This window comes from Homo sapiens, chromosome 11 (assembly GCF_000001405.40).
Source record: "Homo sapiens chromosome 11, GRCh38.p14 Primary Assembly".
Taxonomy (NCBI): domain Eukaryota; kingdom Metazoa; phylum Chordata; class Mammalia; order Primates; family Hominidae; genus Homo; species Homo sapiens.
Genome location: NC_000011.10, coordinates 120,552,017 through 120,574,326, shown reverse-complemented (window position 1 = coordinate 120,574,326; position 22,310 = coordinate 120,552,017). Strand labels below are relative to the sequence as shown.

The 22,310-nt window shown below is 50.7% G+C and overlaps 1 protein-coding gene across 21 annotated transcripts in view, besides 3 other annotated features; it reads right to left on the bottom strand.

Moving 5' to 3' along the window:
* Positions 1 to 22,310, bottom strand: part of GRIK4 (glutamate ionotropic receptor kainate type subunit 4) — a 477,159-nt gene that overhangs the window by 414,580 nt on the left and 40,269 nt on the right. For 5 of the 21 annotated variants that reach the window (NM_001440402.1, NM_001282470.3, NM_001282473.3 and 2 more), the window contains exon 1: positions 9,602 to 9,893. The exons of the other annotated variants lie outside the window; for them this stretch is intronic. The gene's annotated coding sequence lies outside the window, so the exon portion shown is untranslated. Of the gene's footprint in view, positions 1 to 9,601; positions 9,894 to 22,310 lie in introns of those variants that run through there. 21 annotated transcript variants of the gene reach the window in all.
* Positions 8,619 to 9,198: an enhancer, noted in NCBI's record as "H3K27ac-H3K4me1 hESC enhancer chr11:120435838-120436417 (GRCh37/hg19 assembly coordinates)". NCBI's record gives its function as "activates a minimal SCP1, AML or CMV promoter by ChIP-STARR-seq in naive H9 embryonic stem cells {active_cell/tissue: H9 hESC(naive)}" and the evidence as "EXISTENCE:reporter gene assay evidence [ECO:0000049][PMID:30033119]".
* Positions 9,199 to 9,779: an enhancer, noted in NCBI's record as "H3K27ac-H3K4me1 hESC enhancer chr11:120435257-120435837 (GRCh37/hg19 assembly coordinates)". NCBI's record gives its function as "activates a minimal SCP1, AML or CMV promoter by ChIP-STARR-seq in naive H9 embryonic stem cells {active_cell/tissue: H9 hESC(naive)}" and the evidence as "EXISTENCE:reporter gene assay evidence [ECO:0000049][PMID:30033119]".
* Positions 9,330 to 9,599: a silencer, noted in NCBI's record as "silent region_3994". NCBI's record gives its function as "represses an Ori minimal core promoter by ATAC-STARR-seq in GM12878 lymphoblastoid cells {active_cell/tissue: GM12878}" and the evidence as "EXISTENCE:reporter gene assay evidence [ECO:0000049][PMID:35858748]".

Here is a 22,310-nt window from a genome sequence, read left to right as displayed (position 1 = left end):
CTCCACCATTCCCTCTTTGGGAGAAGACCTAAAACCAAGGAGGACCATCCAGCCCAGCGACGTGATCGTGGATGGCTGCTCCCGGCACAGTCCCCCATACATTCAGCATAATCACACAGCACAACCACTGCTCAATTCAACCAGCATGACAGAGCCCCACCACGCACCTGGCACGTGGGAGGAGGTGTGTGACTTGCTATTAAGGAGCTCATGGATAAGGCTGGAGAGAGACACACAACAAATACTACCTTTCATCGGGTGCACTCTATCCCTGAGTCACCAGTGTCGGTCCCAGGGGAGAGAGGATTGATTGGTCAGGAGATACTCTCAGGACTCTAAGGCCCTCCTTGGGTAGCAGCCCCGAGCCTGGAGTCAGCAAGATGAATCAGCAGGAGCCCGAAGGCCCTGCCATCAGCCTTGCTGCAGCCAAGCTCAGTGTGGGCCTCTGGGATGTGGAAGGACCCAAGGAGAGCCTGGCTTGGCTGTAAGCCCAGGCCACCTCCAGATAGAAGGGCTGGGAGAGGGTCCCTGAGCCCCAAATCCTGGAGCTCTGTGCTCACCTGGCTCTTGAGTCAGGCCCATCCACACACTGTCTACAGAAGCCAGGACCAGCACCTGCTGACTCCCAGTCCAGGCCACACCCCACTGCTCTCTCTGTTTCTAGTTTTCCCCATGTGTCTTGCCAGCCCTCGTCTATCTGCTCAGTGACCATTCTGAGTCCCAAGTGCTCCAACTCTGTCTCTCCATCCCCTGTGTACCTCTTTCTCCCACCCAGTGAGACAAATTTGAGCTGGACCTCCAAGGACCCACAAGCTAGAGCTAAGGACAGCTGAGGCCAAGGGTCCCCAGCAGTGGCGGGGGTGATCACAGGTGGGGAGTGGGTATGGGGCCAGGACTAACAGACTGACTCCTCATTATGGGAACAGCTTCCCCTCAACAGCCACGTGCCAAGGTCTTTTTCATCATGGCCCAGCTCTTGGAAGCTGTGAAGAGTCTGATTAAACATCTTTAGCATCATGTTCAAGGAGAAATGCCCACACAGATGACTAAAGGTTTATATCCTGGTGACAATGGCAGGATTAACTTTATTGATCAAGCATCACCATCATCAACAACAAACATTTACGGGGCTCACTCTAGCAGACCGCTTGTCCTTCAACCCAAGCAGTGAAATACCCAGGACACCACACCAAACTGGCAAAACCAACCTGGCTCATGGCCTCGAGGTAACTACAATCCACAAGAGAACACTTCGCTTTAAACACATTTTAAATACCTCAAATTAAAAGACACAACTGTATTAGATCAATAAAAGACTACTGAATGAATGAATGAATGAAGTGAATGAGTGAATGGAGTATGGTTACCTCTCAACGGCTTTGGGTCCAATGGTCTAATTTAGAGATTACTAAGGCCTCTGGCTTTCCAATCTTCTTGCACAATATTTAATGGCCTTAGTTGGGTCATTTCATTACTAATTTGTTCCTCAATCAGAAGAAGGGAACAGCGGAAATGAAAAGGGGAAAGACACAAATCCATCAGTGCTGTTCCCTTTAGCAGTTCTGGGAGAGGGTTTAGTGGGTAAGAAAGATTGAAGCTTATGGCTAAAGCAGGGCTTGGGAATTATCAGTGGATTTTATTTATGCATGACTTCTGGCATGAATTGCCATTTTGCTCCCACTCTACCTGGAAAACTTCCCAAGAAAGGCAGTGCTTTAGGAGGTGATGATTGTAAAGACGGGAGGGAGAGAAAGAGCCCAGACAGGAGGAGGCAGCCTCCTTAAAGCAGGCCAGGCAAATCTTCCCAAAGACAGCCTGCGAAGGAGACAGGCATGCTCTCTCTCCACTCCCCGCCTCGACATGCTCATGCCTTCCAAGTTGTAAGGGACTTCAGGTGAGTTCCCACCTGATCTTCTCCGCAACGCTCTACTCCCTGACCTGCCCGATTCAGATGGAAATTTTTCTGGGCAAGCGCTACCAGGCATGTTGTAGTGGGGATGTGTTATGGGCTGAATGTTTGTGTCATCCCTCAAAATTCCGGTGTTGAACGTCTTACCCCCCAAGGTGACGAAGTATTAAGGGATGGAGGCTTTGGGATGTGACTAGATCAGGAGGGTGGAGCCCTCAAGAAGGAGACTCGTGCCTCTCAAAGAGACACAGAACTTGCTCTTGCTCTCTCTGCTCTCCGCCATGTGAGAAGACAACAGGAAGATGGCCATCTGCAATCCAGGAAGGGGGCCTTCTTCAGACCCTGGATCCGCCGGCATCTTGATCGTGGATTTCCCTGCCTCCAGAATGGTGAGAAATATGTGTTGTTTAAGCCACTCAGTCTATGGTAGAATGATCTGTTATAGCAGCTCCAGCTGACATAGACAGGATGCCTCCGGTGACTTCCTGCCAATCAAAGGACCATGAGCAGGGCTGTGCCACAGTAATGGCCTCACTCCTCATGTTCCCCAACATGTTCCCCACCACCAAGTAGGTCGTTCACCCAGGAAAGTTTAAAGAACCCAGGTCACCTCACAGACCTGGGGCTTCTGTCCTGGCAACCCAGGCCCTAGACATAGTCTAGGCAAAGGTGCAGGGTGTCAGAAAGACAGACATCCACAATGGGGGCTGGCAAGAGAGGAAGAAGAGGAGAGATGAGGGGGGTGGGCCAGGCCAGGTGGATGAGGGGTGGTGAGAGCCAGGGGAGGGTGTGGCTCCTGGGCCCCCACAGGAGGAGGAGTTAGAATCATAGCTTGGGGGAGGAGGAACACCTGATGTAAACCAGCAGACCTGGGTTTGAGTCACAATTCTGCCACTTACTAGTGCAGCATGCAGGAGGGTCCTGCCACCAATCAGCTTTCCTAAAAAATCAAAATCTTCCAGCAAGATGAGGGACTAACCTAAGCAAAAGGAACATGTAAGCTACAGAAAACGGGAGATCCAGCCCAGGGGAAAAGAGACTGCTGTGCACAGGTGTGGAAGGCAACCAGCCAGAGTGCAGGGTGTGCAGCGGCATGCAGAGGACAGTCGTCACCATGTCCTCAGCTGCTGCACAGCTTTTCAATCTGAGAAAACTCCTGGAGAGCACGCTCCATCAAAACAATGGAGTAAACCAAGAAAGAAGAAGATGCAAGGTCTCAGAAATAGGGAATGTAAATCAGGGAAAGGCAAAAGGAGTCTAGGGAGGAGGGGGCCAAGGGAAGTCCCAGGAAAACAGCCGGGCACCAGGCCTACAAGGCAAGCAGTCCAGACATAAGAACAGAAGTGTCCAGGAGTGAAGGCTCCAAGACACAGGGGCTGACTGATCACCTGGAGAGAGTGACCTTGTGGAAAATCATTCTGAGAGGCTATTGGTAAGGACAAAGAAAACTAAGCAAATGATAAAACAAGGCAGTTACCAACTTCAGAACAAAATGAGAGGTAAGGAAACAACTGTTTCACAATAGTTGTAAATAATATTCACACAGATATAATGTAAATTCTGACTATTCATTTAACTAAAGTTTAAATACCACATATGAGGGGAAGGTGTCAGATGGGATGGTAGTATAAGAGACTAAATCCTCATTACCATAAACAGAAAATTGGCTGGGCATTATTCACACCTGTAATCCTAGCACTTTGGCAGGCCAAGGTGGTAGGATCACTTGAACCCAGCAGTTCGAGACCAGCCTGGGCAACACAGCAAGACCTGTCTCTACAAGTAATAACAAAAAAATAGCCAGGTGTGATGGTGCACCTGTAGTCCCAGCTACTCGGGAGGCTGAGGTGGGGTGATGATCCCTTGAGCCCAGGAGGTTGAGGCTACAGTGAACCGCGATGATGCCACTGCACTCCAGCCTGGGTGACAGAGTGAGCCACCCTCTTAAAAAGCAAAAGCAGAAAGTCAACTGATAATGTATGCAATCGATACATTAAAATATAGCAATGCACACATATTTAGAACTATAGAGATGTGGAAATCTCAGAAAAAAGCAGCTAAACAGTTGAAAGCCATTATTTCAAAAAAGGGAGGTTGAGGGACAGGAAGGGTGGGACAGAGAAATACTGAATATTGTTATAAGCCTTTTAAAATATGATTTGACTTATAAACTATGAGTAATTATCACAATAGCTTTTTAAAATCCCCAACCCCTGATCCTCTGTGGTTGGCAGTAGAGCGAGGTTCCCCACGAGACAAGCTGCAGCCTTTTCGACCTTGATCCCTGTCGCCTAAGCTTCATCTCGCCCTGGCGGTCTCTCACTCTTTATTGTTGCCACCAACAGGAGGGGCTCCCGGAGCAGCCAACACCATTTTCATGTAACTCTGCTATGGAGAGTTCTATGTAACTCCTTTGCTATGGAAATGGGTCCTGGCCTTAATCCCAAAAAGCACAACTAATGAGACTAGAATGATTAAATAAGACTTTCTAACAGCCTGGAAATACAAATGGGAAAGGAACAAGAGGCATACACATCTAGCAGATGTGGTCTTTGGGAGTATGGGAGATTAGACCCTCCCTCAGGTTCCCAGTTTACCCTACCTAGCTCCCCACCCACCACATAGGGGCTACCACTGTTCCCTACACCCAGCCTCCTCCAAGTCTGTATTTGCAAGAGCAGAGTCCAGAATTTCTCCTCTGCCACTGTGGAGTCCCTCTTGCCACTCCTGTTCCCTGGCTAATGACCCTACCCTTCTCCCCAAAGTCACTCTACGCATCACTACTCTTTAGGGAAGCTACTCTTCCCTCTCTCAAATTATAATTCAACAACAACAAAAAAATCCCTGACATTCACAAGGGAATACCCATATATAGAAATGGGGGCATGAGAGAAGGGGAGCTTCTTAATTTTGGACAAAGCAGTAAACATCTTGAAGCCTTAGTTTTCTGACCTGTAAAATGGGGATGATAGTATCTGTTCCAGTCCAAGAGTGGTTATCAGGATCAAGTCAGATAATGGATGGAAGGCAGCTTTATAAACTAGAAAGTCCCTTATGAATGTGAATTATTAGTATTATCATCATTGGTCATAGTAATTTTCTAAATTAGCAGACCATAAAGAGATCCTTGAGTGGTGGGGACCAATGCACCCAAGTTCAAAGCCTCCATTGCAAGTAGCCCTTTCCCATATTAACCATGGGGCGGGGCGTGCCTGGTAGGTCTATTATCCAGCTTGTAGCACTGCCAGTTGCCCCGCCTGGAGCTGCAGATGCCCCGGGCATAGACCTTGGTGCCTCAAGCAAATGGCTCTAAGCACCTGTGCCACTTCCCCTTCATAAAATCAAATCGCTCACTAATGCTCCTCAGCTCCTTTCATCCAAATGGCAACAGCCGTTGTTCTTATTGGATTGTAGATGAATCACTTGAAAAATATTTTGGGGCACATTAGAGAGGCTTAACATAAAAGTACCTGAAAAATGGTTCTGTTTTGTTTTCCACTTTGCAAACCCAAACTGGAGCCTGGGGTTGTATTACATATTTTTGTCTTCTTTTTTTAACAGAAGGGCTTTGCTCATTTCCTCTCCATGCTGGGAAAAGGGACACGTTAATTACTGCTGGGTGGGGAGCAAACCTCTCTGAGGGTCTAACTCCATCTTTGGCAAGAAGGATTGCACAAGAGGAGAGGTGAGACTTAAATGTCAGCCTTCACATCTCCAAAGAGTAACTGGAGGCCTGGCATGGTGACTTACACCTGTAATCCCAGCACTTTGGGGGGCCGAGGTAGGTGGATCACTTGAGGCCAGGAGTTCAAGACCAGCCTGGCTGACATGGTGAAACCCTGTCTCTACTAAAAATACAAAAATTAGCCAGGCATGGTGGTGTGCACTTATGGTCCCAGCTACCTGGGAGGCTGAAGCAGGGGAATCACTTGGACCTGGGAGGCAGAGGCTGCAGTGGGCCAAGATTATGCCACTGCACTCCAGCCTGGGCAACAGAGCAAGACTCTGTCTCAAAAAAAAAAAGAAAAGAAAAGAAAAGAATGCCTGGAAAGAAGGTGGTGTACATCTCCATCTCCACTGAGGACAGAACAGAAGAAAATGGAAGCAGTAAGAACTCAACTCAGGCAGGATACCAGGAGAAACTGTCTTATTATAAGGCAACATTTGACTGCATCCCCTTAAGAGGTTGTGAGTCTTTGCTGGAGAGTTGTTTGTTTTGTTTGTTTGTTTGTTTGTTTTTGAGGCAAGGACTTGTTCTGTCACCCAGGCTGGAGTACAGTGGTGCAATAATAGCTTACAGCATCCTTAAACTCCAGGGCTCAAGCAATCCTCCCGCCTCAACCTCCCAAGTAGCTGGGATTTTAGGCAGGCACCACCATGCCCAGCTAATTATTTTATTTTTTGTAGAGGCAGGGTCTTCCTGTTTCCCAGGCAGGTCTTGAACTCTTAGACTCAAGTGATCCTCCTGCCTCGGCCTCCCAAAGTGTTGGGATTATAGGCATGAGCCACCATGCCTGGCCTACTGTAGATTTTATGCTAGACAACTATCTTTATGGGATGTTTTTGGTCTGTACCTGCCTTGGAGAAGGGGAATAGAACATAAGACTTTTAAAAAGCCCAACACTGTCACATAAGACATACCTCCTGTTGACATCCCATACCCACTCACTACCTAGGGCCAGCCACAAGTGTCTGAGAAGGGAATGTGGGCTTCCCAGTGTAGCCAGGGATGTCTCTTTCATGGATATCATCACTCTCTTCCCCTGCTCAGCAAGTGCTGGCCACTCTCTGTGGTCTCCCTCTGGAGTCCCAGCACACAAGGCCTTCAGTCACATGTCCATGTGTCTGTACCAAACCCTTTGCTCTGCTAACTAACACGAAATCCCCTTTCTAATCCCTTTCTTATCCTGCTGAGAGCTCTGGGTCTTAATTCCATTATTTAACACATCATAAACATCAAGGCTGGGGAGATGCCTCACACCTGTAATCCCAGCACTTTGGGAGGCCGAGGTGGGAGGATTGCTTGAGCCTAGGAGTTCAAGACCAACCTGGGCAATACAGAGAGATCCCATTTCTACCAAAAAATTAAAATTAGCTGGGCGTAGTGGCACACCCCTGCATTCCCAGCTATTTGGGAGGCTGAGGTGGGAGGATCGCTTGAGCCTGTAAGGTCAAGGCTGCAGTGAGCCATGATCGCACCACTGCACTCTAGCCTAGGGAACAACAGAGCAAGATCGCATCTCTAAAAAAATAACATCAAAAAACAAGCTGGATGTGATGGCATGGCCTGGGGTCCCAGCTACTGAGGAGACTGAGGCAGGAGAATCACTTGAGCCCAGGAGTTCAAGGCAGCAGCGCAGCACAACCACACCTATGAATAGCAACTACACTCCAGCTAGGCCAACACAACAAGACCTTGTCTCAAAAAAAAAAAAAAAAAAAAAAAAAATTAGGAGGCCGAGGTGGGCGGAACACGAGGTCAGGACATCAAGACCATCCTGGCCAACATGGTGAGACCCCATCTCCACTAAAATACAAAAAACAAAAATTAGCCGGTGTGATGGCACGCGCCTGTAGTCCCAGCTACTCGGGAGGCTGGGGCAAGGGAATCACTTGAACCCGGGAGGTGGAGCTTGCAGTGAGCCAAGATCGCACCACTGCACTCCAGCCTGGCAACAGAGTGAGACGCCGTCTCAAAAAAAAAAAAAAAACTGAGGGTATAAACAAGAAAAAAAATCTTGTGATATGTCCCTAGACTCTCCCTCTTAGTTGATGTCAACCCATTAATTGCTCACCAGTAATGAAACCACTTTATTGTACTACCCACTCAGAAAACTGAACCTCAAGACAAAAAAGGGTTTACAAGTTGTTGGAACAGTATGTGCCACATATGCTCAGCACCTTCTTTATTCCAAATCTGGAGGGTCCAAACCACATCGTAGGCTGGCCCAACTTCGTCCGTAGATTAGCTGGCAATCACCTTAAATAGTCTATTTTAACACCAGCATGGGCTTATCTGACACCTGAGACCTTACTCAGTCAGAAGGAATTTGAAGTCTGGCCTCCTTTCTCAGTCACTTCCTGGCTGGATGACCCTGGACAGGGTGCCTAACGTCTCTGGACTCCAGTTACTTCCTCTGAAAAGCAGAATAAAGAATATCTTGCCTAGATCAGAAGATCTCTGGAAATCCCTTACAGCTCATAGAGCTACAACTGTTCACTAAACGGCCTCTACAAATGAAGAATTTTTTGCCTTTTCATTTGTCAAATAAAATCTGAGGCCTAGGGTAATAGGCAAAGAACAGGCTTTAAAGTGCAAAGCACAAATCCAGGCTGCCATTTACTGTATCTTGGATATAAAACTTAACCTCTGTGGGCCTGGCTCAGATTTTTATCCTAGAGACAATGACGCCTACTTTCAACACGGCTCAAGGGGTAGGAAACATAGCATCATCCTTCCAGCCTAATACCAAAGTCACACCCCAAGCCCAGAATAACCACGTGTGTCTCAACTCTTTCTCCTAGATTTCCTGTCTTGCTTTTCACTCTCTATAGGAAAAGATGGTTTTGTCCATTCCCTGGCAACTAACGTGCTATTAGTTAAGTTTTCTCATGTGGCCAGGTATTACCTCTGAATTATAAGTGGAAAGACTGAGATGTAGAAAAGAGCCAGGGGGCAGGAGTAATTAGTGAGGCAAAGCCTGCAGCCAGACCCTGTATTTCTACTCCGGTCTCATTAACCGTGAGCGCTGCCGGGCGCTGGAGGCCCCCTTCTCCTACCTGTCGTCCTTCCTCACTCGGCTGTGTTCTGTTGTACCTCGTACAATATTGGATCTGTAAAACGCTTTATATTCCTTTAGCCAACACAGGGATGATTCAGAACAAGATTGGGTTATTACAAATTCAGGAGGCACTACACACACGGCTGTCATGTTTCAGTTACCCTTTCTCCCGGTTTAATAAAATTTGCCACACTAATACAAAGCCATCTTTTATCGTTTTCCCTGCAGTTGTAACAACTTGTCCAGCGCATTCCTGCTAATTAAAGGAGGAGAGGATGCAGCAGCTCACTGGAAAGTGGGCTTCTAGGGAGGCTGTCAGTATCTTTGCAGCCACTTAGCTCTGGTTCTTAGAGTCCTTTAATCGCCGGCTCCTCCATGACATGAGGCCTAATGAGGTCAGCAGCCGGTGGCGACATGGCAGGCAGTCCCGCGTGGCGGCGGCCGGGACAGCTGGGCGCGCTGGCAGGAGAGCAGGCACAGCGCTCCCCACAGGCAGGATGACGCGGGCTCCGCAGCCCGTCCTCCCACGCTGCCCCGCATCACTGCCTCGGCCCTGACGTGCGTGCGACAGACTCACCGCAAACAGTCCCCAGCGGGAGCACGAGGCCGGGACAGGAGGTGGGCGGCTACACAGGACACCCCACCCCCCCCACCCCCCCGCAGCCGGCGGAGCCGATCGCCGGAAAAGGGAGGCGGTGGGCGAAAGGAAAGCGGGGAGCTGGGAGAGGAGCTGTAAACAAAGAGCTGCCCTTGTGCGAAGTCCTGAGCCGGGTCCAGTCAGCCCGCTTCCTGTGGCCCACGCACTGCCCGCCGGCCCACGCGGGAGCCTCGAGGGGCGAGGCGGAGGCTGGGCGCAGTCCTTGCAGCCAGCAGCCACCTCCGCGCGCTCCGCCGCGGTCCAGCTAATTACCTGCTGCGGCGGCGGCCGTGCCCTTTAGGGTGCATTAGTATTCCCGCCGCGGGCGCTGCCCTCGCGGCGTCGGCACCGATGCCCGGCCACCTCCAGGCCCGAACGACTGCGGCTGCGGGAAGGCGGGTCGAGGGGGGCTACGGCACCCCAGGGAGAGGCCGGGAGCCGCCCGGACCTCGGAGGGGATGGGGTCCTCTCTGGGAGGCACCCGTCTCCTTCCTGGGTCCTAAGACCCTTCCCAGCCCTGCGCTCCGACCCCACTCCTCCCGAAACGTCGGGGAATCGGGAAAGGAGGGCCACGGGCAAAGCGGGGGCGGGCGCCCCCTGATTAGCATGCGGCGCCGGTTGCCCGGGCCCGGATTCCCGAGCCCCCTCCCCGCGAGCGCACACTAATAAGTTTACAAATGGAATCCGGTGGCGCCGCTTGCAATAAAAGGCAGAAGCTGCGCTCCGGCGCTTCAATGAGAGCATTTTCCCCCGTAACAAGGGGCTGGATTCAGCTGCCTGGTGCCGTCTGAGCGGGGCGAGTTGCCAGAGTAACCAAGGCCTAGCGCGCACGTGGGGAGAGGGAGCTGGCTGGGGCTCCAGCGCTAGCCGCCGCCTGCGCGCCCGGGCCCTTCCTCAGGCCACCAGCCACTCCTCCGGGACATTGCCTCCCCCACCCCAACTTCCCCACTACATAAACTGCCTCCCTACCCACCCCCTAACCTTTCAAAGGCTCTCCGGCAGCTTGTGTTAAATTCATGAGACACACCGGGAACACCTCCTCCGCGATGGGAAAATAATGTTTAGGCCTGGAGTGTCACTGGAGAGGGGGCCCAGACGGTGACTGTGCTCAGAGCGGGCGTGGAGGCACAACCGACCCCAGGTGTGGGAGGCGCCAGAACTGGTGCAAACAGCAGTGAAACAGCAGGTGGAGATTCCAGAGCCCTGGGTAGCTCAGGAGGTAGGCTTCTGAATGACCTGGGGAAGGGTGGAGGGGAATTCAGAGCCAACTAACCCTGAGTGCCACATCTAACTTCCTGAGAGGAGGCTCCAAGGACGGGAGCTCCAGAAGTTCCTGGGGTCTAGCAGCTGCGGGGAGACCAGCTGGACCGTGAGCAAAGCACCCATCTATCCCACCTGTAACACAGGGCTGGCTGCTGCTGCCTTCTCCCAGCCTTTGGCCTAGGTTGGTTTAAAAAAAACGAGTTCAAAAGCTGAACCCGCTTTTGGTCTTCAGCTCTCAAAAGTTCACATTTTGCTCCAGAAAGTTAAGGCTGCTGTCCACCCTACTTCCTTCCCAGGGACCAAAAATATAGGGATTGTTTCTCTCTTTTTACAAGCTTGTCACTGGGCACAGGGTTCTTCCAGGCCCCAGAAGTTGTTCTCTGGAGCCCAGAGAAGCTGGATCCCATAGTTCCTCTCCTGAAGCTAGGCTGAGGGCTGCTAGGCAGCCGCCTTCCAAGTGGCCACATGCTAGTATCCTAGGAGATGTACACCCAAACACAGTGCTTACCGGCCAAGCAATCCCTATCCCACATGGACAAAGAGGCTGATACTAGACACTGCGAGTATGTCTAATAGAGAAAGAGCCCACTTCCTCTGCAACTGACAAAAGAAGGGAGCTGATTCCCGGGTTTTACCCAGGGAGACAGTGAAGTGGAAAGACACACTTCACCATCCCCGTTCTGGAAGCTGGGCAAGCTGGGTGCCAGCCTGCATGACTGACATCTCGGCAGTCACATACATCCACAGCCCACTGGACGTCATGCTTCCGCAGAAGGCCAAAATAGGGTCCCCCACTGCCACCAGGCAGCTGGACCCTGCAGAAGAGGGCTGGCTGCCCATTCTGATCCCCTGACCTGGCTCCTCCCTTTTCCACACGATACCCCCCATGCCCAATCATCACTAAGTCCTGTGGGTTCTACCTTCTAGAAAGTCTCTCAAATTAGTCCAAGCTGCACACATTTCTCACTAGCACTGCCCTACCACCACCAGAGGATCTCAACCTGTTCCCTTTTGTGTAAATCTCCCCAGCCATTTCCTGGCACCCTTAGCCTGGTATACAAGGCCCCCCATGAACTGATCACTGTCACGTCTCCAGCTTCTTCTCTCCCCTTGTACCCTGGCTCCAGCCTGCTTGCCATGACCCAAACACAAATCCTCACTTACTTCTGTGTGTGCAAGCTCTTCCCCAGCCCCCACCAGCCTCACAATACCCTAACTCCCCTTCTTCCTCTGGTTGGTTCCTTTACATCCTTCTAGGCTCAGCTCAGGCATCACCTCCTCCAGGAAGCCCTCCCCAGCTCCCTGCCATCCATCTGAGACTAAGTTAGCCTCCCAAATACACTTACCTGCTCCTTCACTAGACTGTGAGCTTCTTAGGGCCAAGGCCGGGGTCCCTGTTGACTTTTTCACACGTCATTATTTCACAATCATTGCCTTATTGGAAAATGATTAAAAGTCTCGGCTTTGGAGTTAGTGAAATGTCAGTTTGATTCTTAGCTCTTCCATCTGCCATGTCACTTAATTTCTCTGAATCACAGTTTCCTTATTAAAATGGATAAAGGTAATATCTTAAGGCTGTTGGGCTTAGGTGAATCAATGGGTTTAAAGGACTTAGCACAGTGCCTGGCCCATGGTGAGCAGATTCTCCCTCCCCTTATTGTGTGTACGCCCTCAGTGTCAGCCCATCTGGCACATTCTAACAACTGCTTCCTAATTGCTGAGCTAATGAATGATAAGAGGAAGAACACGACATCCTTCTGGGGCTCTTCACCACCTTGGCCATACCCTCCTGGATATTCTTTGCCTTATTTGGCACCCTTTTCAAGTGGGCCACAAAGAACTTTTGACCAAGTCACACTCCCATCATCAGCTGTGTAGCGTGCAGCAGTCAGATCCAGATATATGACTGGAGGAGAAGGCAGGAAAAAGAAACAGCTAAGACTGAAGGTGGCTTTGAGCCTCTGGGTCATCTTGGGGTTTGGAGGAGAGGGAGGAGATGTGGGGGTGGCCAGGTTCTTCTGGAAGACAGAATCGTGTGGTAGTAAAGAGGCCTTACCCACATCGCCTTCTCTTTGCTGTTTCCCGACCCCTAGGCATACATGGGCTGCCCCCGAAGGTGTGGCCTGGGACACCCTTTCTATATATGAGACCCTCTCATGGCTTTTGCCATTGCTGGAGCGGGGGTATGCCTGCAGGGAACTCTGGGGAGTCCCCGAGTAGGCCCCCCTAGTCCCCACGTGGCTCTCCAGCAGCAGAAGGGACCTAGAGTGCTGCCTGTCACCAGCGCCATGTTGCTTCCTCCCAGGCAGAGGCCTTGCTGGTGAGCGTGCAGGAAGAGAGGCGAAAGCATGAAGGAGAGAAGGGAGAGGAAAGCTCAAAGCCCAGTAGCAGGCGCCTTGATGCAGAAATATCTTCTAGAACATGAGGGAGAAGCGCTCCATCAAAACCTTCTGGATTTCCAAGTCAGCCGGGCTGATGACCCGCAGCAACCCACCCTCCCCTGGCTGCCGCTAAACCCAGGGCCTGCTCCTGCCCCACCTCCCAGTCCCACCCCACCCCTCCTTACCCAGAGACCACACACCAGGGGACTAGACAGGCTCACTCCCTCCCTGGCTGTCTTGCAATTTTAATTTCTCACCTTCCTAAACAGCCAAGATTTATGGCACACTTGACAGAAATATTTAATTTTCCAAATGTCTACTATTCAAAGGCTGTGGAAATCTCCAGCCCTAACATTTCCGCATTAATATCCATTTAAGGCTGAGGCCAAATAAAGATCTTCCCAGAGGCGTGGAAGGGGGGAAGGAGGAAGATGAAATCCTTAGCAGACAGAAAGGACCCACAGAAAATCCCCCACGAGATCATACCATCCCCACTGCTCTTCCACTGAAGTAGATGTTAAAGCTTTTTAATTATTGTCATTAACATCACTGAATGCTTATTATGTGCCAGATACTGTGCTAAGCAATTTAAAAGCCATGATCTCATTTAATCCTCACAACCCAATAAGGTAGCCACTATAATTATCCCATTTTATAGATGAGGAAACTGAGGCACCGAGTGATCTAAGACCACTCAACTAATGAATGGAGGAGCTGAAATTAGAACCTCAATTTGACTCTTACTATCATACTGTCTCTTGTGTGTGCCTGATGGAAACACTCTTTCTTCCCAGACTTGTATATAAGTCTAGCTATACCATATACACACATATACATACTATATTCAGTTTACTTCCGTATATCACTGTGAAGGAGACTCATTGATGAATTCAACGGGGACACTGTGTAGGCTCCCTGCTACACCCAGAGCACTGCTGTGTGGCCAGCATAACAAATGCGGGGCTAGGTCCCCTGTCTATCATGACCTTAAAATCTGCTTGGAGGCCAGGCACAGTGGCTCACTCCTGTAATCCTAGCACTTTGGGAGGCCAAGGCAGGTGGATCACCTGAGGTCGGGAGTTTGAGACCAGCCTGGCCAACATGGTGAAACACCATCTCTACTAAAAATACCAAAAAAATTAGCCGGGCGTGGTGGCACACACCTACAATCCCAGCTACTTGGGAGGCTGAGGCATGAGAATCCCTTGAACCCGGAGGTGGAGGTTGCAGTGATCCAAGATCGCAACACTGCACTCCAGCCTGGGCAATAGAGTGAGACTGTCTCAAAAAAAAAAATCTGCTTGGAAAACTGGGCATATATTCAAAACAATGCCACACCAACACAAGGAGTACAGGAATGTCACTGCTAGGGACTCAACTTTCTCCTGAGATACAGAAGGAAACCAGAAGACCTCAAAACAAACCAGAGAGACCCTCTCAGGCCTCCCTCTCAGGCCTCCCTCTAATAGGCCTGTCTCCTCTCGCTGCTGGTGTAATGCAGATACAGTTAATATGCATTAAACGCAGAACACAGAAGAGGCAGGCATGCTGGCAAAAGTAAGAGGCAACTGACAAAATGAAGAGGAAAACATAAAAAGGTGATAAAGAACTCAAGAAGTCAGCAGTCTTGGGCCACTTGGTGTGTGGGAAAACAGAATCACCTACTTGCCCCAGAAGTGTCTATTAGTGCACAGGTAGTAGCTGGTGTTTATAATAATGACCCTGAGTAATGAAAAAATGATCAAACCATGTTCTGTGCATGTTGTTTTGGAAGGCCTGCATACTTTTCTTATATCCATTTGGATAGAAATATTTCATTAAAGTGGCCAAAATAATTTTTGTTAATGTTTTGGTGATGAAAGAGGTAAGTTAGATTCTCCTGAGATGCCAGCTGAAATACAGATTCCAATGTGTAATGAAACATCCAGCTGGTCAGGACTAGGAGTCCCTGGTGGACAGGAATAGGTTCTGTCTGGCCCACTCTGCTCAGTGCCCAGCATGGGTAAGCACCCAACAAAGGATGGCTGTCACCAGGATGCTGGTGCCCACGAGCTCATTTATCCACAGCCAAGAGATTAGCCGAAGCGAGGGAGTCTGGGACCCCTCCAAAGCTAGTCCTGGGGAACCATGGATCTCACTTCCCCAGCTCCTTTGAGGCCAAGCTTAGGGCAGAATTGCCACCTAGTAGCCTCAGCAGGCCTTTGCTATGCCACGAAGGTCACCACTCCTGGGCTTCTCAAGAAAGGGTCCTAATCTAAGTTGTCAGCAGCCAACCCCCAGCTGAGAACAGAGAAGGCTTCTCCATCTCCCTTGGCCTGGTCCTAAATAGCTCTGGTCACTTGCTGCCAGGGAAGATGACGGGAAGAATAAACACAGCAAAAATATGAGTGCCCTTCAGCATCACCATGGTGAGGCCTTATCAAGGATCTCAGCAGTCTGGGTAAAACCAACATTCACTGGTAATGAGCCAGAGCAAAAAAAAGAGTAAGACACAAGAGAAGGTCCAATCTATGCAACCCATACCATGTCCAGAAGGGGAAAACTCTTGCTCACGTTCAGTGTGAACCTAAAATGCCCCCCAACCCTCTCTATAAACTAAATACGCGCAATTGTCACTTGTATATAATCTACTCACTTTGTTAATTTTCCATCATTTATGTTGTGTATAAATGCCTGTCTCTTGTGTGTGCCTTCATCAGCACAACTGTCAGAACTGAACACATCTGTGAGGGTTTTTTTTGTTTTGTTTTGGTTTGGTTTGGTTTTTGAGACGGAGTCTCGCTCTGTCGCCCAGGCTGGAGTTCAGTGGCGTGATCTCAGCTCACTGCAACCTCTGCATCCTGGGTTCAAGCGATTCTCCTGCTTCAGCCTCCCGAGTAGCTGGGACTACAGGCGCACACCACCACACCCAGCTAATTTTTTTGAATTTTTCGTAGAGACAGGGTTTCACCATGTTGGCCAGGATGGTCTCAATCTCCTGACATCATGATCCGCCCACCTCGGCCTCCCAAAGTGCTGGGATTACAGGCGTGAGCCACCGTGCACAGCCTGAGGGTTTTAACTTACTTCATATAGGAAAAGGAGCTGACATTATAGAATACCTACTATAGTACTGACACTTCATGTGCTTTATCTCATTTAACCTCATAACAGCCCTCTCAAGTAGATATTATTTCCATTTTACACATAAGAAAACTGAGGCTCAGAGAGGTTAAGTAACTTGCTCAAAGTTGCACAGCTTGTAAGTGTCAAAACAGAGATTCTGTTTCAGGTCCCTTGACTCTGACTCTAAGGACCACTGTCGATTACTTCTTTTTTTTTTTTTTTTTTTTTTTTTGAGACGGAGTCTCGCTCTGTCGCCCAGGCTGGACTGCAGTGGCCCAATCTCGGCTCACTGCAAGCTCCGCCTCCCTGGTTCACGCCATTCTCCTGCCTCAGCCTCCCGAGTAGCTGGGACTACAGGCGCCCGCCACCGCGCCCAGCTAATTTTTTTTGTATTTTTAGTAGAGACGGAGTTTCACCGTGTTAGCCAAGCTGGTCTCGATCTCCTGACCTCGTGATCCGCCTGCCTCGGCCTCCCAAAGTGCTGGGATTACAGGCGTGAGCCACCGCGCCCGGCCCGATTACTTCTTGATGTTATCACCAGCAAAAGAGCTGACAGAAGCCTCTCTCGTGGCAAATCTGGGGATAAAGAAGACCCCTTCCAGATTCAGACGAGAATGCTGCTCATTTTCAGCCTGAGCCTGGCTGGTATTTCAGGGGCTGACTTAACATGATGAATGGGCTCAGGGCACACATGAGATGTAATACGTCTTGATTTAGGGAAGCGCTAGATAGGTCGTCTGATGAAATTTTACTTGCAAAATTAATTCAGATTGTCTTGGCTGAGTACTCCCATCACCCAGACAGCAGGAGAGGCTGGGAAACTGCAAACAAGTGGTCAAGAGAAGAGGCTGCGGTGGACAGGACAGCAGCAGCCAGGGCAGGCACAGCCTGTGAGGAGACTGGATGGCAGGAGGTACCGTTTTCTTCCCCCAAGGCAGCGGACCTAGAGCGTGCAGCAGAAAGACTGCAGGCAGAGGGAAGGGATGGTGTGCTGAACACGAGAGTCCTCGGGGGGGACAGGAGAGGCAAGGGAGGGGCTCCTTCTGAATTCTATCCGGTCCTCCAGTGCACTAATGGAGCCACAAGAGAAAGACAGTCAGCCCTGGGTCCCTGAATGCTGCCATCAAGCAGGCTCCAAGGACAAGCTGCCTGCTGTGAGTCAGGGTAACAGAAGCCTCAGTCAGGCCAGGTTTGCAGCAGGAGTCAGAGGTCGGTGCCTTCTGTGGGCAGGAGGAGACTGGACGGGTCAGCTCAGGAGGGATGTTAACTCACACCAAGAAAGGGAGGCAAGCAGCTGCCCGCTGTCAGGAGGGAGGCCAGAACCCAGGTAAGGGTGACAAGGCGAGGGGAAGGAGACTGACTAATGAGGAGGAATGAGAGGCCCCGCGCAGAGTTGAGCTCAACTGACATAGAGGGCGGGGACGTGACTGCCAGTCACAATTAAGGAAGGAACGGAGAGGAGATGGATTACTGTAATTATGAACCTATGGAGCACAGTTTTAAAAACGTGTTCCTCTTGTGTATATGCAGGAGGTGACAGGAGGGTGCTTTTTTTTCCTCCTAAAGCAAAGGACGGGTTAAGCCCATTCCCAAGACAGGTGTTACCCAGTAAGTTGAGGACCCTGGGGTCTTAGAGAGATCAGGTGGGCCGAAAGGAAACCAGGCTGATCCAAAAGAACGTAGGCGCACCCAAGAAACCCTAAACGCACCCCTCTGGAGTGGCAGGAGGTGAGTGGCACTGACTGGGGTCAGGGGTGGAGGGCAGGTAGGTGCTGCCTCCCGGATGCATGTGGAGTTATCCTTGCGAAATGACTTGATCTGACTTACATTTTAAAAGCTTTACTCTGGCTGTGATGTGAAGAACAGACTGGGGGAGTGGAGAGAGGACAGGTGGTCTGGATGAGGATGGGAGTGAGCAGAAGGTGACAAGTGGTTAGATTTGGGGTATTTTTGAGGGCAGAACAAACAAGACTGAGGAACTGGAAATGGGGTATGAGACAAAGAAAGGACTCATGGGTGAATGCATGCATGCATGAATTCCCTCCTGGACTGCGCTGTGACAGGGGCCGGGGGACACTGATCCTTCCCTCCCCCAGGCTTACCAGCACTCCCCGCCATCTTCTCTTCAATGTAAACCTTGACCTAAAGCTGCCCTCCCTACCAGGTGATCATTCCCTCTAACCCACATTAGACGGCGCTCTGTGTGCTGGCATGGCAACCTTGCCACCTCCTGAAAATGCATTTCCATGAGAAGAACTGGTTTCAAGTAGCCGACAGTCTAACATGTAAGTAAACCATTAGAAATATGACCTGTCTGTGGTGAGAAGTGCCTGTGTCAACCTGGTCATTGCCCCAGTTGTCACATCCAAGACAAGGCATTTTCTGTTGCTCCCAAGACGCGTGGCCCCAGCATGGCCATGATTCTTGGTGGCAGGGACATCAATAATGACGGTGGGAAGAAGCCCCAAGGCCTCTGAGGACAAGGATGAAGTAAAAGGAATTTGCAAACTTTGTGCCACCCGCAGCTTTCCTGAGAAGTCGAAAGGACCCTGGGCAGAAGGAGGGCAGACCTCCCCTCTGCCCCTCCTCCACCTCACCACCTGGGCATTGGATGTGTCTCGGTCCCATTTGCCAGATAAGAAACTCCCCAGAAGTGGGTAGGTCGGGAAAGGCAGGCGGACCGTGAGGGAGAAGACGACCGCTGTGTGCATCTGGTGGCAGCCTCAGCCCCAGAGCAAATTTTACTGAGTGAAGAGGAGAAAGTGTGTGAATGCTGGCTCGGCGAGTACATAAGCAGCCCGGTAGAAAGCTTTTTTAGCAAGCTCTATGCAAATCAGACTTGGAGAAACAAAAGCCAGACCTATGCCTGCTGTGTCAGCTCCAGAGCCACGTTTCCACTTCTCATCTGGCCCTTGCTGCCTCACAGTGGCTTCTGGTTCACCAGCCAGTAATGAGAGCTCCCAGACCTAATGCATAAACAGGAAGCCACTTGCTGGGTTTTGCTTTTGGACAGCCAGCAAAAAGCATAGGGCTCTCTGGGGCATGCCGCCTCCATTTGCAGGAGTTAAGCCTGAAGTCATGGGAAACATGGATAGATAACATGGTGACCTGCGCGTGCAGGGCCTGGAGGACATCTGGGCAGCAGCCTGTGGTCTCGGGCTGCAGAGCGCCTTCTCATGCCTCACAGGCTTCAGAGGCAACCAGCTTCTGTGGACTCGCATGGACTACCTTTACGGGATGCCTGTGTGGGAGTGTGGTTGCGGTCTCCCTCTGCCTACCTCCTCCAGTGCCGTCCTCACCACACCCACCAGGCAGGGCAGACATTCCTCATTTGGAAAGAGGGGAACAGATGCACATGGACTCTCCAACTGACTCTCAAGAGACTGGAAGGGGCCAGGCGCGGTGGCTCACGCCTGTAATCCCAGCATTTTGGGAGGCCAAGGCAGGCAGATCACTTGAGACCAGGAGTTCGAGACCAGCCTGGCTAACATGGTGAAACTCCGTCTCTACTAAAAACACAAAAATCAGCCAGGCATGGTGGCGGGCGTCTGTAATCCCAGCTGCTCTGGAGGCTGAGGCAAGAGAATCGCTTGAACCCGGGAGGCGGAGGTTGCAATGAGCAGAGATCGCGCCACTGAACTCCAGCCTGGGCGACAGGGCGAGCTCCTGTCTCAAAAAAAAAAAGAAAAAGAAAAAGAAAAAAAGAGAGCGACAGAGAGAGACTGGAAGGAAAAGGAAGCCAAACCTCTCCCCTTGACTTCATACCACTCACCAGTTTGGGGAGTGTGGAGAGAAAGTCCCAGGAAAACACCTAAGCGGAGGCAGGAGCCCATGCAGGGGCTGCAAGGTTGGGAGACATCGTCATCCAATGCTGAGGCCTGACCCCACCTGCACTTACTACGCCAGGAGATGCTGCATGGGCTTTCACAGCTAAAGATAGTTAATTGCTACCAGCATCTATCCAGAGCGGTTTTAGAACATAAACCTTGTCTGCCAATGATATCCTGGGTTCAGAAACTCATCTGTAGACTTAACAGATATTTTTGCTGGTCCCATTTGGGCCCAACTCCAGTTTTGAAACTTCATCTATTCATCTGCCTTTCACTTAGGCAGCCTTATGGGTGCCTACAGCACAGGGCTACTATAGATGCTGTGGGTGGGGGTGTGAGTGGGTGGGGGTGTGAGTGGGTAGGGGTGTGGAACCTTTAACATCATCCACAAGTGTCCCCAAATCCATCTTAGTCTCATCTGCACCAGCCTCCAAAGTGGCTTCTCTGTTTTGTTTTTTTAAATCCTGCCAAGTCTCAGGAGGCTTCTCTGTTTTAAAGCCTGACCTTGACACTGTGACTTGAACCTTCCCAGTCCTCCTCTGTCCCCCTCCACTCTGTCAGCATTGAGAGGGCACACTCTACTCCGGAGAGAGACATCTCAGGGCACAAGTGACATACAGGCAGGCAATTTACAGCTCCTGGGCTTGCTCTGCATCCAGCAGTGCTGCAGTCTGCACCCCCAGCCTGCTCCCTAACCCCTTTTAACTTCCCCTCCCCTCCCCAGGCCCATAGGGCTCTCTGCTCACAGCTCCAGGCCCTGAGGAGGCCAAGTGCAGTTTGCGAGTTCCAAATATAACCCCTGAGTTCAGGTCAAACCTTCTTTTCCCTACAGCCTCTTGGAAAATGAACCAGTTTCTCATTTTTCCAGGCCCAGGTCAAGTTCCTGCAAGTTCAGAGACTTTAAATCCCTTTTGTTCCCCTCTCTTTCCACATCCTCCCTTTCCTTCTTCACTCTAGCCCACTCCCCACTTCTCCTCTGAAAATGTTCTCCCCTTGGTCAACAGTGGCTTTGGAATGATAGATCCCAGCCTCCCGTGACTTCCTAGTGGCATATGACAGGGTTGGCCCCTCCTCCCACTCTTCCTTCCTCTGGGTGTCCCCAGTGCCACATCTCCTGGTTTCCTCCTGTTCCCCTGTCTCTTCAGAAGGCTCCTGTCCTGGACCCTCCAACACTGACTCTCAGAGTTTCACCACTGGCCCTGTTCCTTGTCACTCCACACACACACTGGCTGGGCAAGTTCATCCAAACCCTTTACCTACTGCCTATGGGCCGATGGCCCCAAATCTTTATATCCAGCATCTTTTCTATCTAGAAGGTAACTGGAGATGCATAATTACAGCCCACTCTAATCTCTCCTTTGCAGATAACCCCAATCCTTTGTCCCTTCCTCCCTTCTTTTTTTTTTTTTTTTCTTTTTTTGAGACGGAGTCTCACTCTGTCCCCCACGCTGTAATGCAGTGGCATGATCTTGGCTCACTGCAACCTCTGCCTCCCGGGTTCCAGTGATTCTCCTGCCTCAGCCTCCCGAGTAGCTGGGATTACAGGCACCTGCCACCACGCCCAGCTAACTTTTGTATTTTTAGTAGAGACAGGGTTTCACCATGTTGGCCAGGCCGGTCTCTAACCCCTTACCTCAGGTGATCCACCCGCCTTGGCCTCCCAAAGTGCTGGGATTACAGGCATGAGCCACCACGCCTGGCCTCTCCCTTCTTTTTTACTCCCCTGGCTAAATCCCAAGTCGAGCTAAACCCAGCTATCCACCCTCTCCATGCCTGCACCAGCGACTGAACGTTCCTGTAGAAAACCACAAAGCCAGTTTGACTCCTTGCATTTTCAACTTACAACCACAAGCTCTAGCCAGGCCCTCAACAGCATCCTGTGCCCTCCCTACAGACGCAGTAAAGTTGTCACTTTATTCCCTCAGGCTGCCATGGTATGCTTTTCCCTGCACCTCAGCCTCCCCAACACCCTCAGCTCATTGCCTTGTCTCTCCATCCATCAGAAAACAAGGTGTTGGGGAAAGCCCTCAAATTGTTTTTCCTCTGCTCTCCATCCCAACAATCCCCAACACAGAAGACTTCTGTGACCAAATGTGTGGGGGTGGGGTGGGGGGTTCTCCCCACCATCAAGCAATCAGCTCTGCAGCAGACACCAATGGGGTATCCTCCAATTCAACTCCAACACTGTCTACCTGGAGATAAACTCAGATCCCACTGGGTGAGGGCTCAGTCCCAAGACTGCCCTCCACAGCCAGACACCAGTTGCAAGTCCAGGCCCCGGGGGAAATTCTGGCCACCCAGCTTCAAGTTGAGATTCCCACCACCCACCTACTCTTTGAGTTTGATTAATTTGCTGGAGTGGCTCACAGAGCTCAGGGAAACACTTACTTATGTTTACAGTTT